Source organism: Homo sapiens, chromosome 4 (genome assembly GCF_000001405.40).
Source record: "Homo sapiens chromosome 4, GRCh38.p14 Primary Assembly".
NCBI classification, from domain to species: Eukaryota; Metazoa; Chordata; class Mammalia; order Primates; family Hominidae; genus Homo; species Homo sapiens.
Window position 1 is genome coordinate 185,363,129 of NC_000004.12, and position 14,572 is coordinate 185,377,700.

General features: G+C 40.3%; 2 protein-coding genes across 21 annotated transcripts in view; one reads left to right on the plus strand and one right to left on the minus strand.

The window, feature by feature from the left end:
- Positions 1-14,572, plus strand: part of SNX25 (sorting nexin 25) — a 174,406-nt gene that overhangs the window by 158,892 nt on the left and 942 nt on the right. For 4 of the 6 annotated variants that reach the window (NM_001317781.2, NM_001378032.2, NM_001378034.2 and 1 more), the window contains one exon: positions 257-838. In NM_001317781.2, coding sequence (NP_001304710.1) covers positions 257-337 — 81 coding nt within the window. In that variant the 3' untranslated portion in view covers positions 338-838. Of the gene's footprint in view, positions 1-256; positions 839-6,621; positions 7,058-7,506; positions 7,731-7,829; positions 7,938-14,001; positions 14,535-14,572 lie in introns of those variants that run through there. The other 2 variants (NR_186775.1, NM_001423234.1) reach the window with 2 other exon arrangements.
- Positions 744-14,572, minus strand: part of LRP2BP (LRP2 binding protein) — a 33,416-nt gene continuing 19,587 nt past the window's right edge. For 9 of the 15 annotated variants that reach the window (NM_001377443.1, NM_001385601.1, XM_024454135.2 and 6 more), the window contains 7 exons: positions 13,781-13,890; positions 12,485-12,598; positions 11,191-11,333; positions 11,007-11,112; positions 9,728-9,951; positions 7,512-7,686; positions 744-4,117 (listed from right to left, as the gene is read on the minus strand). In NM_001377443.1, the coding sequence (NP_001364372.1) occupies positions 4,052-4,117; positions 7,512-7,686; positions 9,728-9,951; positions 11,007-11,112; positions 11,191-11,333; positions 12,485-12,520 (750 nt within the window). In that variant the 5' untranslated portion in view covers positions 12,521-12,598; positions 13,781-13,890 and the 3' untranslated portion in view covers positions 744-4,051. Of the gene's footprint in view, positions 4,118-7,511; positions 7,687-9,381; positions 9,952-11,006; positions 11,113-11,190; positions 11,334-12,484; positions 12,599-13,780; positions 13,891-14,572 lie in introns of those variants that run through there. The other 6 variants (NM_001377442.1, NM_001385605.1, NM_001385604.1 and 3 more) reach the window with 4 other exon arrangements.

Genomic DNA, 14,572 nt, shown 5'->3' on the forward strand with positions numbered 1-14,572 from the left:
CACCTCGCCCATCCTCCCTTGACTTTTGATATCACATTGCCGCATAACTGGTTGGTTTTCTTATTTCAGCAAAGCCAACTGTTTCCCAGTCATCTCTGATTATAGTTACCAATATTAAATACTGTTTGAGAGTTACTTGTTTACTGAGATAATTTCAGACCTAAAATTAGACTTTTCTCTTAGATGCAGATATTTATTTTGAATAAACCCTTGGAGAAAAACATTTTTCCACTTTTTTCCTTCTTTGTTGGTTCAGGCGCTGATGGAACTGCTGCTAATTGAACTGTGTCCTGAGCTGAGAGTTCATTTAGATCAACTTAAAGCTGGCCAAGTTTGAGACTACACAAATAAACCACCAGAAAAATGTCTGTGTAATAATAGACATGAAACATTTTCCTCTTTTCCACAGAGGGCTTAACTGAGAACCGTATTGATTTTTATTTTAGTTACCTCCCTCTAGTTTTATGTGAAATTAGTAGAATCAGGGAGGACGGGACTTATGCTGTGGTAGGCAACAGAAAAAAACTTCTATTGATTTTAATTTAATATGAATACTTTAAAGATCAACATACCGATTGAAATACAAATGTTAATATGTGAGAACCTAGGAAGTATTTTAAATATTTATGAAAATATTTTGTTTTAAAATGAACTATGAATATTGTACAGTTAATTTCCTCACTGAGGACTGTGAACATTCTTATATTATTTCATGTATATTGAAGAACATTGTTATGCAATGCTTTGTGTAAAGTTATTGTGAAGATTTTATTGTCTTTATTTTTACCAAAGATTTCCCATAGTTTGAGCATTCAAAGCAATAAAATATAAAAATGAATCACAGTGCTCTATGATATTTAAGATACTTATATCTCAAAGAGGTTGAAACTCTACAGGCTGTTCAAATATTTATCAAATGCCTTTTTAGAGAAAACACTATGTACTTAACTACTTCTGCAGGGAAGTAAAAGTTTGCTGCCTTCTCCAGAAACAAAATAAATCTGTAAAATATATGATTTTTAGTGAGCAGAAAGAGCCAAATTAGTGCTTGAAGTGAGGCATTAGGGAGGAGAGATGGGAGCTGACCCTTGGAGTATGGGCAGGGCCGAGATGGGGGAGCGGAAAGAGGAGGGCAGCTACTTCAGGGGCTCGGTTGTATTATCAAGCCGTTTAGACCACAGGGACATTAGGGGAGATCCAGAGTACAGACTTTGTGTTATTGATAGTGGGGCCATGCACAAGTACTTAATTTTCCTGGGTTTCACCATCTATTATGCAGTAATAAAATACCTTCCCCTGTCTAATCCCCAAGAATATTGAAAACAAAACAATTAAACAAGTAACAGGTAAAAATTCCATTTGAATCCCTGAAAGATACTCCCCTCATGCCCTAGGATGTAACCTATGCCAGTTTATATACGTATGATATACATATCATACCTGCTAACTTCTTGATAAGAAACAAGTTCTGAAAGATAAATGATTAAAAATTAGTAAACCAAATGTTATCCTTAAGATTTTTTTAGTTATAGCTTTTTTATCCTTTTTTCAAACCATGATGATATTTGACACTTAAAAAAATACCCAAAGTTGGCTATTGATAAAAATTATCCTTCAAAAGACTATATAGAAAAGACCAGATAAAATACATTCAAGGAAGAGAGGCAATGTGAAGTTGTCAAGCCTGAAGAACTTATCACAATACAATTATGGGAAATGTCTATTTTAGGCATAATTCTATGCTATCATTTAAACTGTAGCTGTTAAGTTTACATTGCGAATGAGAAAGATCACTATTATTTTGTCTCTATATTTATTTATGATAAAATGTCATTTTTCCATGAGATATCAGCTACAAGGAATCTTAGAGAAGGAGTGTGTGTGTGTGTATGTGTGTGTGTGTGTGTGTGTGTAAGAGTAATGATCTGGAAGTCTCAATGCACTCGAGTTACAGACTCACCGCAGTCTCAGGTCAAGGGGTTTACTACTGTCCTCAGCAGTGGTAGTTTGCAGGGACTCGCTTGTGCCAGAGCATTAGCTTTATGGTAACTAGAGTAAACTGAAATTTTAAATTCTGCATTGGATTTATAGAAGACATATAAGCATAGCATGTTACCATGTATGGCACACGTCAAAGTTTATGATTTCTGAAACCCATCTTTAATGGCAGTTTAAAAAGTGCTCTTTACTTAGGGCCGATCTTTTATTATGTTCCTATTTTAAGATTCTTTTTATTTTTTTTTGAGATGGAGTCTCGCTCTTGTCACCGAGGCTGGAGTGCAATTTGCGCGATCTCAGCTCACTGCAACCTCTGCCTCCTGGTTTCAAGCAGTTCTTCTGTCTCAGCCTCCCGAGTAGCTGGGACTACAGGCGTCCGCCATCACGCCCGGCTAATTTTTGTATTTTTAGTAGAGACGGGGTTTCACCACGTTGGCCAGCCTGGTCTCAAACTCCTGACCTCATGATCTGCCCGCCTCAGCCTCCCAAAGTGCTGGGATTACAGACGTGAGCCACTGCGCCGGGCTAAGATTAGGTCAGGAGACTCCGTCTCAAAAAAAAAAAAATAATAATAATAATAATAATAATAATCTTTAGGAACTGGATTAAGTGTGGAGAAGAGAATACTAGTTGGGAATTTGGATCTTCAAGTGGTTGAAGGAATGTTACATGGGTGGTATTAAGAGATTTGAGACAGAAATACATGACCATTTGAGGATATCTCAAACCCGAGTCTGTTGAAATTTCTTCCCTTACACAAAGACAAAATGAAGTTCAGGCAATACAGACAAGCCAGAACATAAAACGAGAGCAAATACTTTTCTGCCATTCAACAGTTCTTAGTGACTATCACCTCCATATTAATTGCATTTTCCCATTACTAAAAAGAAATCTTGTTTAAATCCACTGTTGGGATGGTTGTGATTTATAAAATAAAGCCACATCCTTTAATATGTTTATAAAAAAAGGAATAGTTAAGGTATCTCTGAGACCTGTCTTCGATATGTATATTTGTTTCACAAATGAATAGCCTTGTACAATCTTATGCATATGGATCTTACTGTTTTTACTGTCACCTTTTGCCTTCATAGATGTCATCTATATACGGAAAGCCTTTTGCTAATTTTAACAATATTTAATTGTAGTTCTTGTAAATGATTTCATTGAGGCTTTTACCACAGGGTTTTAAAAATATGGAAAATGAGCTGAAGCACAAAGAAACAATTTGCTTTACTTTTCTTACGAATATTTTCATATAGCAATTGCTTTTTGTTTTATTACACATTCTGCATATGTATGTAGCAGTTGTTTTACTCATTAAGATCTTTGAGGGAAGATTTGGAGGGGCAAGATTCTAAAGCAATGTCTTATAACCCACTTTTTTGAAGTTTATATGTAATAAGCCAATTATTTATGAGCTTTTTAAGAATAAAGGATGTCTCAAAAGGCTTAGTGCAGTTTTAGCTTTAATAACTTCAGAAGTAGAAATGCTGCACACACTTATTTAAGTTTAATTCTTTAAATGTCTTTTACCCTTAGTTTTGTGAAATTTTAAATTTTTAAAATTTTAAATGACTGAAAATTTAAATTTTAAATGACTGAAACAAAATTTAAACATTATTATTCAAAATTCACAAAACTAAGAGACAAATTTAAAGAATTAAACTTTCAAATGATGGTTTTAAATAAGTTTGTTTCTACTTCTGAACTTACTAAACTAAAGCTAAACTAAGTATTTTTGGAGACTCGGTGTTTAAGAAAGGATAAACGATACTTGCTGTATAGAATGGTTTTAATACTTGATATGGTCTCGGCCAGTCTGTAGGGTAAGAGGTGGACCTCTGAGGACTCTTCCAGCAATTTGACCTTGTGTCTAGGTTTCAAGTTGCAAAACTTAACAGCGTACGAATTCAAGAACGAAGTAACATGTCACCTGTAAAATACCCAGGATAGTGTAATTTGTGATGTGCAAAATAACCAAACATAGCTACTGTAAAAATACACACATTGTGAGGTGTTAGCATTGATGATCTTTGTTGAAATACATTGTGGTCTAAATTCTTTGACGAATAAGTAAGGAGTGAAGTTCATCTGCCAATGCGGGATTCAGACGACAAGCCTTAAAATCAAAAAGAGTCAGATATTTAGATACATTCTAATTGTTTGGGTCTTTCTTCTTTTTTTTTTTTTCTTTTTTGATTCATTTTTAAGAATAGTAAAGTACAGTGAATTTCAAGAAAATTTGTTAAGATACTTTCTATTCTGATGTCCTACTTTAACCTATGCAGAATAGATCAATACTCAAAATAACCATGTTATTCTCATTTGAAAGAGATATTTTATCAATGCCAAGAATAAAGGGAACTTAAGCACCAATGATAGCATTGTATGTTATGAATTATTAAAATAAGTAAAATGGAGAGCATTAACATTTGGCCTCAAAGTTGTTATGATCTCATTATGTGAATAACAGCATCTGTAAAATTTTATTTTAAAATATACAGCTAAAATAATTTTATTATGTCTAAATAGTGACAAGGTGCATAATTTCTAGAATGTCAACAATTTGGGATATAGAGCTCTCATCCAAACCCCATTCTATGCAGTAATTGTCCCTTCAGTACCCACGACAGTTGGTCACTAGGTATTTGCTTGGTTGCTTCCAGTAGCAGGAAGTTACACATTCTACATATGTAGAAGTTTTCACCTTCAGAGAAAACTTGTGTTTTTCTTTGTTTCCTGAACTGTTGTGTTAGAAAACTCTCCCTTATGGCCGGGCGCGGTAGCTCACACCTGTAATCCCAGCACTTTGGGAGGCCGAGGTGGATGGATCACGAGGTCAGGAGATCGAGACCATCCCGGCTAACACAGTGAAACTCCGTCTCTACTAAAAATACAAAAATTAGCCAGGCGTGGTGGTGGGCGCCTGTGGTGCCAGCTACTCGGGAGGCTGAGCCAGGAGAATGGCGTGAACCTGGGAGGCGGAGCTTGCAGAGAGCCGAGATTGCGCCACTGCACTCCAGCCTGGGCAACAGAGCCAGACTCCGTCTCAAAAAAAAGAAAACTTTCCCTTATTTTAGGCTGGTGTTTCTCTCCATGTACTCCAGAATCCTCGAAGGGTCCTAACAGAATACATAATGCTGGTTTCACAGAAACCTAACACTCTAGGAAGTGGGAGTCACCCTGCCTGACGGTGGCAGAGCCGAGAGCAGGCCTGGGTCTGTCGCCTCCAGGTCCCAGTTACCATCTTACTGCCTCACCTTCTGCCATAACACACTGCCTGCCATGGGCACTGATTCTGCTCCCTCCCAACCTGTTCCCTTCCTGCGGGACACTGCCTCTCCCTCCCAACCCGTTCCCTTCCTGCGGGACACTGCCGGTCCAGTGAACACCGCTGTCGGGACACCTTGTGTCCTTTTGCTCTGAGGGAGACCATTTCTGTTCCTCATATCATGCGTCATATGATATCATTCCAGACCCTTCACTGGTTTACTGCCTCTAAATGATCTCCATTTTATCAGTATCCCCATAATGTACAATGGCCTAAACTGAGTACAGTATTCTAGATGTGTATCCTAGAGTCCTAGAGTACAGTATCCTAGTTGCAGAGTAATGGGGCTATTTTCTCCCATCGTATGGAAAATCGTTCTCAGATTGGAATCTGTTTTGTTTTTTTTTTTTTTTTGAGATGGAGTCTCACTGTGTTGCCCAGGCTGGAGTGCAGCGGCACAGCCTCGGCTCACTGCAGCCTCCTCCTTGCAGGTTCAAGCGATTCTCATGCCTCAGCCTCCCGAGTAGCTGGGACTATGGACATGCGTTACCATGATGGGCTAATTTTTGTATTTCTAGTAGAGATGGGATTTTGCCATATTGGACAGGTTGGTCTCACACTCTTGGCCTCAGGTAATCCTCCCACCTCGGCCTCCCAAAGTGCTGGGATTACAGGCATGAGCCACGGTACCTGGACTTTTTTTGTTGTTCTAGTCAGGATGACTATATAGTATATTTCAAAATATATTTGACTAGAGTTTTCTAAGGATATTAAGGATAGGATAGAACCTGAAATCGGCTTGGTTTGGAAATTGATGTAATACAGAGAGCTTTTTTTTTTTTTTTTTTTTTGAGACAGAGTCCCAGGCTGGAGTGCAGTGGTGTGATCTCGGCTCACTGCAACCTCTGCTCCCAGGTTGAAGCAATTCTCCTGCCTCAGCCTCGCGAGTAGCTGGGTTTACAGGCACACATTGCCATGCCTGGCTAATTTTATTTTTCAGTAGAGACAGGATTATTTAGTATTTTTAGTAGAGACCCAGTTTCACCATGTTGGCCAGGCTGGTCTCGAACTCCTGACCTCAAGTGATCTGCCTGCCTCAGCCTCCCGAAGTGCTGGGATTACAGGCATGAACCACTGTGCCTGGCCAGTACAGAGAACATTTAAATGAAAAAAGTTAGACAACTGTTATTCATGCTAAGAATGGTGTAGAGGTAAATATCTTAAAGATCAGTTGCATTTGGCTGTGTGCTATGTGTCTATGTTTATGTTTTAATATGGCTTTGATGCTCTGGAAGTTTTAATTTTAAAGTAATTTAGGGTTCCCAAACTTACCTGACATTGGAATCCCACAGGGAACTTCAACAAATACGCTTCTGTCTCCTAGAGACCATGATTGAAATTTTCTGAAATAAGGCCTGAACTTTGGAATTTGTAAAAGATCCTCGGGTGATTTTAACATGCAGAGAAGCTTGGGAACCACTGCTGTAATATCAGAGTCAGCCAAGGGACTCAGAAGACTCCCCCACTCAGGCTGAACAATCTGTGTTCCACAAACACTGCTCTACCAAGTCTGCTATGATGTAATTCTGACTCGTGGATGTGATGGACCTAAGATGTGCACAGCTTTTTGGTTTTTCTTTTTTTAAAAAAAATCTAAACTTAAGAGTTAGTACTCATAATGATCTCCCTTACACCCCCTCCACTACCACACCCCTTGCTTTTTAGTATTTACTTTGAGATGTGAAACGCATTTGGGATCTAAATAAATTGATCACATGGATTAAAATATGAAAGACTTATTTTAACTGATTACCTCAAACTCAAAAATATCCCGCCTAAGTGGGGTAGATGTCACGCTCAAAAAAACTTTAAACTCTGTACTAGAATAAAAAACTTCATTACTGTACTAGAATGAACGTATACATTCACACTTGTTCTAGATGAAAGAAAAACTGTTCAGCTTTAAGGTCTTGGTGCTGGGCCTTAGGCTGCAGATAGTAGCAGAATGAAAGAGTAATTTGCATCAAAATAGGACTTTTAATCATTGGAGCTAAATTATGCTAATAAGATTCTGACAGAATTGTCTGCAAACAATCTGCATGTCTGACAGCTTCTCTGTAGACAGAGGTTATCTGCACAGTAATTGAGTAGAAAAAACACTAATCCGTAAAACTATTCAAGTTGCAGCTAAAAGCCTGGCAGTTTCTCTTTGGGTGAATTTATATTTTGTTCTAAAGCTTACTTTAGAATAATAGTGTTTAGCGGTTGTTTCATCCCTGGTGATGCCCAAGCCAAGCTGAAGACACCTTGCGTGGTAGAAGGATGCCATTGCCATGCCTCTGCCGATGAACTCCGGGAGACAGTCTGTGACCTGGGCGATCATGGGGATGTCGTGAACCTCATCATAGTCAGCGATCCTGAGAGGATGTAGAGTTGTGAAATGGAAAAGACATCAGTTATGGTAAGTGTTTGTAAAACGATGCGCCTAGAGACTGTCCTTGTGCCTGAAGTGATTTCTCTCTACTGCTTTGAGAACTAAGTTGTTTGCTGTGTGGGGAAGGGTCCATGTAGGCACCTCATACCAGGAGAAGATGAGCTTCCCAGAGTGGTGACTTCACATGTCTCTGTAATTATGCTCAGCAGGCTCAATAACCACTGGAAAACAAAGGTATGTTTCTTTTTTCTTCTAATATTACTACTGGAAGTTTAATGTCACTTTGTGGATTTAAACTGAACGGAGAAGAAAGCATTTTCTATTTCTTTGGATCACGTATGGAAACATCAACCTTCAGTTTGGACGTTAGCCACATAGGACCAGAAAACCCTTTCACTAGCACATCTTCTTTAAAAATAGACAATTGGCTGGGCGCGGTGGCTCACGCCTGTAATCCCAGCACTTTGGGAGGCCAAGGCAGGCGGATCACGAGGTTAGGAGATTGAGACCATCCTGGCTAACATGGTGAAACCCCGTCTCTACTAAAAAAGATACAAAAAATTAGCTGGGCATGGTAGCGGGTGCCTGTAGTCCCAGCTACTCGGGAGGCTGAGGCAGGAGAATGGCGTGAACCCGGAAGGCAGAGCTTGCAGTGAGCCGAGATCGCACCACTGCACTCCAGCCTGGGCAACAGAGCGAGACTCCGTCTAAAAAAAAAAAAAAAAAAAAAAAGGATAATGGAAAGAAGTCATCCTTTATACCCAGACACAAATATGTACAATTGTGTGAGAATGTGATCCAGTCAACTCCATGTTAACCTCAATGTCATAGGGAGTAGGGATGTGGAAAATAAGGGAAAGCGCCGAAGATTTTAAAGAATGATTTAAAGTCTTAGTTCTAACTAAGATGGGCACTTGCTTTGAGACACTGGCAATCACTCCTGTAAGTGGTCTGCTGCCTGGAGCCCGAGACGCTGGGGAAGCGGGGTAGAAGCAGCCCCTCCTTCCCTTCATCCTCTCTTGTAGATGACTGCCCTGAGCTAGGGCTCGGAGAGGGGGGAGACCTGGCGCTGTGGGAAGGGTGTGATTGGGAAACACCAGCACACGCAGAGTCTGATGGCCACTCTAGAGTACACCCAGGTCTGTCTCCCCGACCCACTGCTTTTATACACTGTGGGTAAATACGTGTAGGAAAGTACATGGAGCCTTACGGACTCCGAGAAAAGACGTCTTTTATATTTTATTAGATATAGTGTCAGTCTTTTAACCATATTCTCATGTTACAGTTGTTATGAAGCTGTATTTCAGTGGTGCAGTTATAGAACTGCATGACCGAGGAGTGCAGGAAGAAATGAAGACGTAATAAATGTGTGACATGCCAAGCTGTGTTAAGTACATGATTATAATCCTGCTATAAAGGTATTCTCTTCTTACAGATAAGGCAATTGCTGCTTAAAAAACTTGCTTCAGCTAGTAGCACTGAAATCCTGAAGGCTAATGGCATAGAATTGTGCTATCCAGTATGGTAACCACCAGCCATATGAATATTTACATTAAGTAAAATTTAAAAGTTTAGTGCTAAGTTGCATTAGACACATTTCAAGTGCTCAATAGCTATCATTTCTAATACTGCAGAAAGCTCTGTGAAGGATTTGGCATAGAACATGTAGTAGGCATTCTTATCAATACTTTCATCCAGTTTATTCAAACATTACTGCTATGGTTTGACTAGTAAGTTCCCTTGGAAATCCCAGTGTTGCTAGTGTGATCGTATCAAGAGGTGGGGCTCTTAAGAGGCGACGAGGCCATGAGAGCACCTCCCTCATGAATAGGACTAAAGCCCTTTTTATAAAAGAGGTTTCCTGTAGCTTTCTGCTGTCACGTGAGGACATGATGGTCCTCCCCTCTGGAGGTTGCAGCCCTCTCCTGGCCTCTGGAACTGTGAGAAATAAATTTCTGTTTCTCATAAATTACCTAGTGTGTGATATTCTGTTACAGCAGCACAGAACAGACAAAGACATTCACCTTTTGGAAAATGCAACACACTTTGTAAAAAATTTCATCTTATAGTAATACTCCACGAGATTCCCTTGAGCATAGACGTTTCCGCGTTCTGCTGCTTCTCTTAAGCACTGCAGGGCAGCTTCCGTATCCTGCCGGATGCCTTGTCCATACAAGTACATGAGCCCAAGTGCACCCTGGGACTCCAGATTCCCATTGCCACATGCTTCGGAATGCCAGTAAAATGCCTAAGAAAAGCACAGTTTCATCATTGTATTTGTGATCCACTAGATGAAATTATAAGGGAATACTAGACAGAAAAGAACTCTGTGTTTCCTAGATAGCACTATTAATCATCTCTAGGAAAGAGCGGTAGGCCTTTGGACGCATTTCACACTAGCACACATGCCTAACACAGTGTGGAGGCGAGTTCCTCCGCTGTCTGTCCACAGTGCAGGTGAGATCACAGTCCAGGCAGCTTATGGCAGAGGAAGACCAGCTGTCCTAGGTTTCAGGATTTGGGGATCTTCAGAGTAAGGATCAGGAAGATGCCAAATAGGAACTCAGTGTCTGAAAGGCGTGAGGCACAGCAGAGGAGGGGAAACCACTGATGCTAAGGGAGAGTTCGAGCTCCCGGTGGATTCTAGAGATAGCAGCTGCTGCGATCAAAGACAACCCAGGATAAACGCTGTATGTAGGCTCAAGCACATTTGCCTCATACTCTGCTACAGTGAATTTGAATTCATTTAAAAAATTCCAGATGGCTGCTTATCTATCCAAAGATGGCCTTAGTTGTTATGTGTCTCTTGCAAATTTGCCATTAACTCCTCTCTCACAAGTAGGACTCAGCCCCCATTTCCTTCTCCTTATAGGATTTTTTGGAAACTGTTTCAACCATTGATGAAAGAGATTATATTTCTGTGAAAATCTTAGATGGATTTTATTTGTAACTAATTCTTGGTATATTTTACTTATTAGTATCAATTTCTCAAGTCAACGGTAATATTCATCTGTTCATGCTTAGAAGGATTTTGGCTGTAATTTCAGGACTGTTTCTCTTCTTTTAGCTTTGATACTATAGTATACAAAATACTCTCACATTCATGGTTTCCTTCGGTAGAGGTAGGGAAGGGGACATTTATAAATAAAAGGGCTTTGAGATCCTAAAATGTATGCTTTCTTTACATTTAAAGGAACTATAAGAGATATTTAAAACGACATTCCCCACCATTTTCTCAAAAAAAGCAGTGAAACAAATATTAATCTAAATATAACACTAGCATTAAAAAAGAGGGAACGTTACCTTTTCTAACTCCTTGGGCTCCTTGGTTGAGTAATACAGCCCGAGCATACTTTGAGCCTTCACACTAGCTTTGGGATTTCCATTGTCTGCTGCGATAAGCCACAGTCTACAAGAGAAAGTGAGGCATGTTATTCTCGGTTTCAGCATTTCCTTCAAACCTAATCTTGTTCTCAGGTAGGATTACCTTTCAGCTTCCTCATTTGATCGTTTAACACCTTTTCCTTCATAATAAGCTCTTCCGAGGTTGTAAGCAGCTGCAAATTTTAAGTGTCTTGCTTTGGGACATGGAGAATCAAGAATTTTCTTCATATAGTCCACCCCTTTCTCCTTCGACAAAAGAAAGAGCAAAAAAACCCTAGTTTTTAGTTTTACCCAAACTGAATTTCTTTCTCCCAATAAGGCTGTGAAGTGTCCGCCCTCTGACACGATGTATAATACTATGAATCTGTGCCCAAGGGGTACAATTGTCCTGGATTCTGCAGGGCAAGCGATAAGGAGGAAAAGAATCTCTAAAAGTACATCTCCTACTCAGGCACTCCCAGGAGCTCTGGGATATAAGAAATTTCCTTCCTTTTACAGCTGCCTGAGTTGATTTAAGTCTCGATATGGGCTTCCTTTTTTCTCTCCTCCCTCCCATCTAATAACCCTTATCCTGAATCAGCACAGTTCTTAGAACTGGCTAAAGTGGAAGAATGGCCAGGAACAGCTTTCACATTTATAATTCTTACGATACACTTGCGAGCCCCTAACAAACACCGTCTTCCATTCAAGCATACTTTTACTGTGTGCTCATAGTTTGTATCTAATATACAAATCTTATGCACTAATACGACATCTGCTACGTGGTCACAAGGAAAGCATAGAAGATATTCTAACCACTAGCAAGAACAGATCTGTACCCTCCACCCCCAAATCCATCAGACACAAACCTTCAAACATCACCCAAAAGAAGAAAATAATATTGGACAATCAAATATATTTTGGTTTTTGTTTGTTTGAGACAGAGTCTTGCTCTGTCACCCAGGCTGGAGTGCAGTGGCATGATCTTGGCTCACTGCAGCCTCCCAGGTAGCTGGGAATACAAGCATGCACCACCATGCCTGGCTAATTTTTGTATTTTTAGTAGAGCCTGGCCAACATGGTGAAATCCTGTCTCTACTAAAACTACAAAAATTAGCCAGGCGTGGTGGCAGTGCCTGTAATCCCAGCTACTGTGAAGGCTGAGGCAGAAGAATCACTCGAACCCGGGAAGCAGAGGTTGCAGTGAGCCGAGGTCGCGCCATTGCACTCCAGCCTGGGCGACAGAGCGAGACTCCGTCTCAAAAAAAAAAAAAAAAAAAAAAAAAAAAAAAAATATATATATATATATATATATATATATGTATATATATATGTATTAAAATATAAATAATTTTAATTGTGTCCAATAATCCACTGACAATGAAATCTTAACCACTGTGACCAAGACATTAACTTACAGCGTCTAGAGTGGTCCCCAGCCCATCATAGTACATCACTCCTAGCTGGTAAGTTGCTTGATGGTCTTTCTCCTTGATTTCTTCAAACTGTTCTAATGCTTCTTCATACCATCCCTAGAAGCACCCAGAAGATATTTAATTATTTTTATTATGATCTTAAAGTAATCCCAAAGGCACCAAGTGGTCAAGTGTTTGTGCCCAAGTTAAACACACAGTTAACAAGCAATGCAGCCATATCTGAACCCATGCCCCACGCTGAGGAAGCATGCTCTCAGCCATGGTGCTCTGCCATCCTCAGAGTAACAGGCGCACGATGAGCCCTCAGCAAACATTTGTTGCCAGGATAGACGAAGGTGCCATCGAAAAGTGAGAGAGTAAGTGGGATATAGGTGAACAGCTGCCCAAATAGTCAACAAATGGTGAAAGACAGTCAGTCCCTTTTCAAGTCTTCCCGGGGAAGTCAATGAAAAACCGAAACTACATTACTGAAGTTGAGGGGACAGCTGGCATAGCCATTCCTCAGTCTACTTCCCAGGCCACCCCAACAAGATGTGGAGAAAGAGGGCGATTTCCTCCTATGCTATCCAGGAACAACTAAAGCTTCCCCTAAGTACTAGATAAAAATCAAGGCTTCAATTATTATTAATATGAAGATACCTGGTAATACAAACATACTTTTTTTTGAGAGGGAGTCTCGCTCTGTGGCCCAGGCTGGAGTGCAGTGGCACGATCTCAGCTCACTGCAACCTCTGCCTCCTGGGTTCAAGCGATTCTCTGCCTCAGCCTCCCAAGTAGCTGGGATTACAGATGTGTGCCACCATGCCCAGCTACTTTTTTTTTTTTTTTTTTTTTTGTATTTTTAGTACAGATGGGGTGTAGCCATGTTGGCCAGGCTGGTCTACAACTCCTGACCTCAGGTGATCCACCTGCCTCGGCCTCCCGAAGTACTGGGATTACAGGCGTGAGCCACCGCACCCGGCCTGATAATATAATTTGTATTATTAAATATTTTGAGCAAAAATATAAAAATTTGATTTTTAATCTATAGTGTGAAATGGATTTTATACTAAAACGACTCCCATAAATGGCTTTCATGACATGGATTTTATGAAGAAAAGTCAGGTAGCTCCTCAAGCTGGCAGCACTGTATCCTACTGTTAAAGCCACAGCCATAGTCGATGTAATTGGACAGAATTTCCCTAGTATAACACAGTAAGAAACTCTACATGAAATTTTTGTCTGAGGATCTAACAACAGAATTACAGGAAATGAAAACGAATAAACAAAAAATGATACCTCTTCAAAATATAGTTGACCTCGTAGGAAATATGCCAGAGTGTCTCCTTTCAGTATTCTTTCCTTCAAGAGCTGCAATGCCTTATCCACCAAATTAGCATGGGTGTAATCTGATTTTAAAAAGGTAAGGAATTCCATCAACCACACAATATGAATTTTCTCTCTTGAAGTAATGAATCATATAAAATCCATCTAACACTGTTGACATTCTTGCTTTCTAGTGCTCATTCCTACAACTGGCCTCCTTAGCTCAAGGAAGAAATATTACCTGAAAAAACGTCATGGTCACAGGCCCTAACACTGTGCCTTGTGTAATAAAGCAATACTGGCCGGGCGCGGTGGCTCACGCCTGTAAATCTCAGCACTCTGGGAGGCCGAGGCGGGTGGATCACCTGAGTTTGGGAGTTCAAGACTAGCCTGACCAACATGGAGAAACCCCGTCTCTACTAAAAATGCAAAATTAGCAGGGCGTGGTGGTGCATGCCTATAATCCCAGCTACTCGGGAGACTCAGGCAGGAGAATAGCTTGACCCCAGGAGGCGGAGGCTGCGGTGAGCCAAGATTGCATCACTGCACTCAAGCCTGGGCAACAAGAGCGAAACTCCATCTCAAAACAACAACAACAACAACAAACAATACTTGTTGATTGGTTTCACACTAACCCTGCTCATGGCCAAGTAGAGCCCTAACAGTGCAGGGCTGGGTATAAGTCTATGCATTGGTTTGTCTTCAATGGGCAAAGCTCTCTGGAGAGGTGAGTTAAATTCTTAATTTGAGCCTTAATGAGAGTTC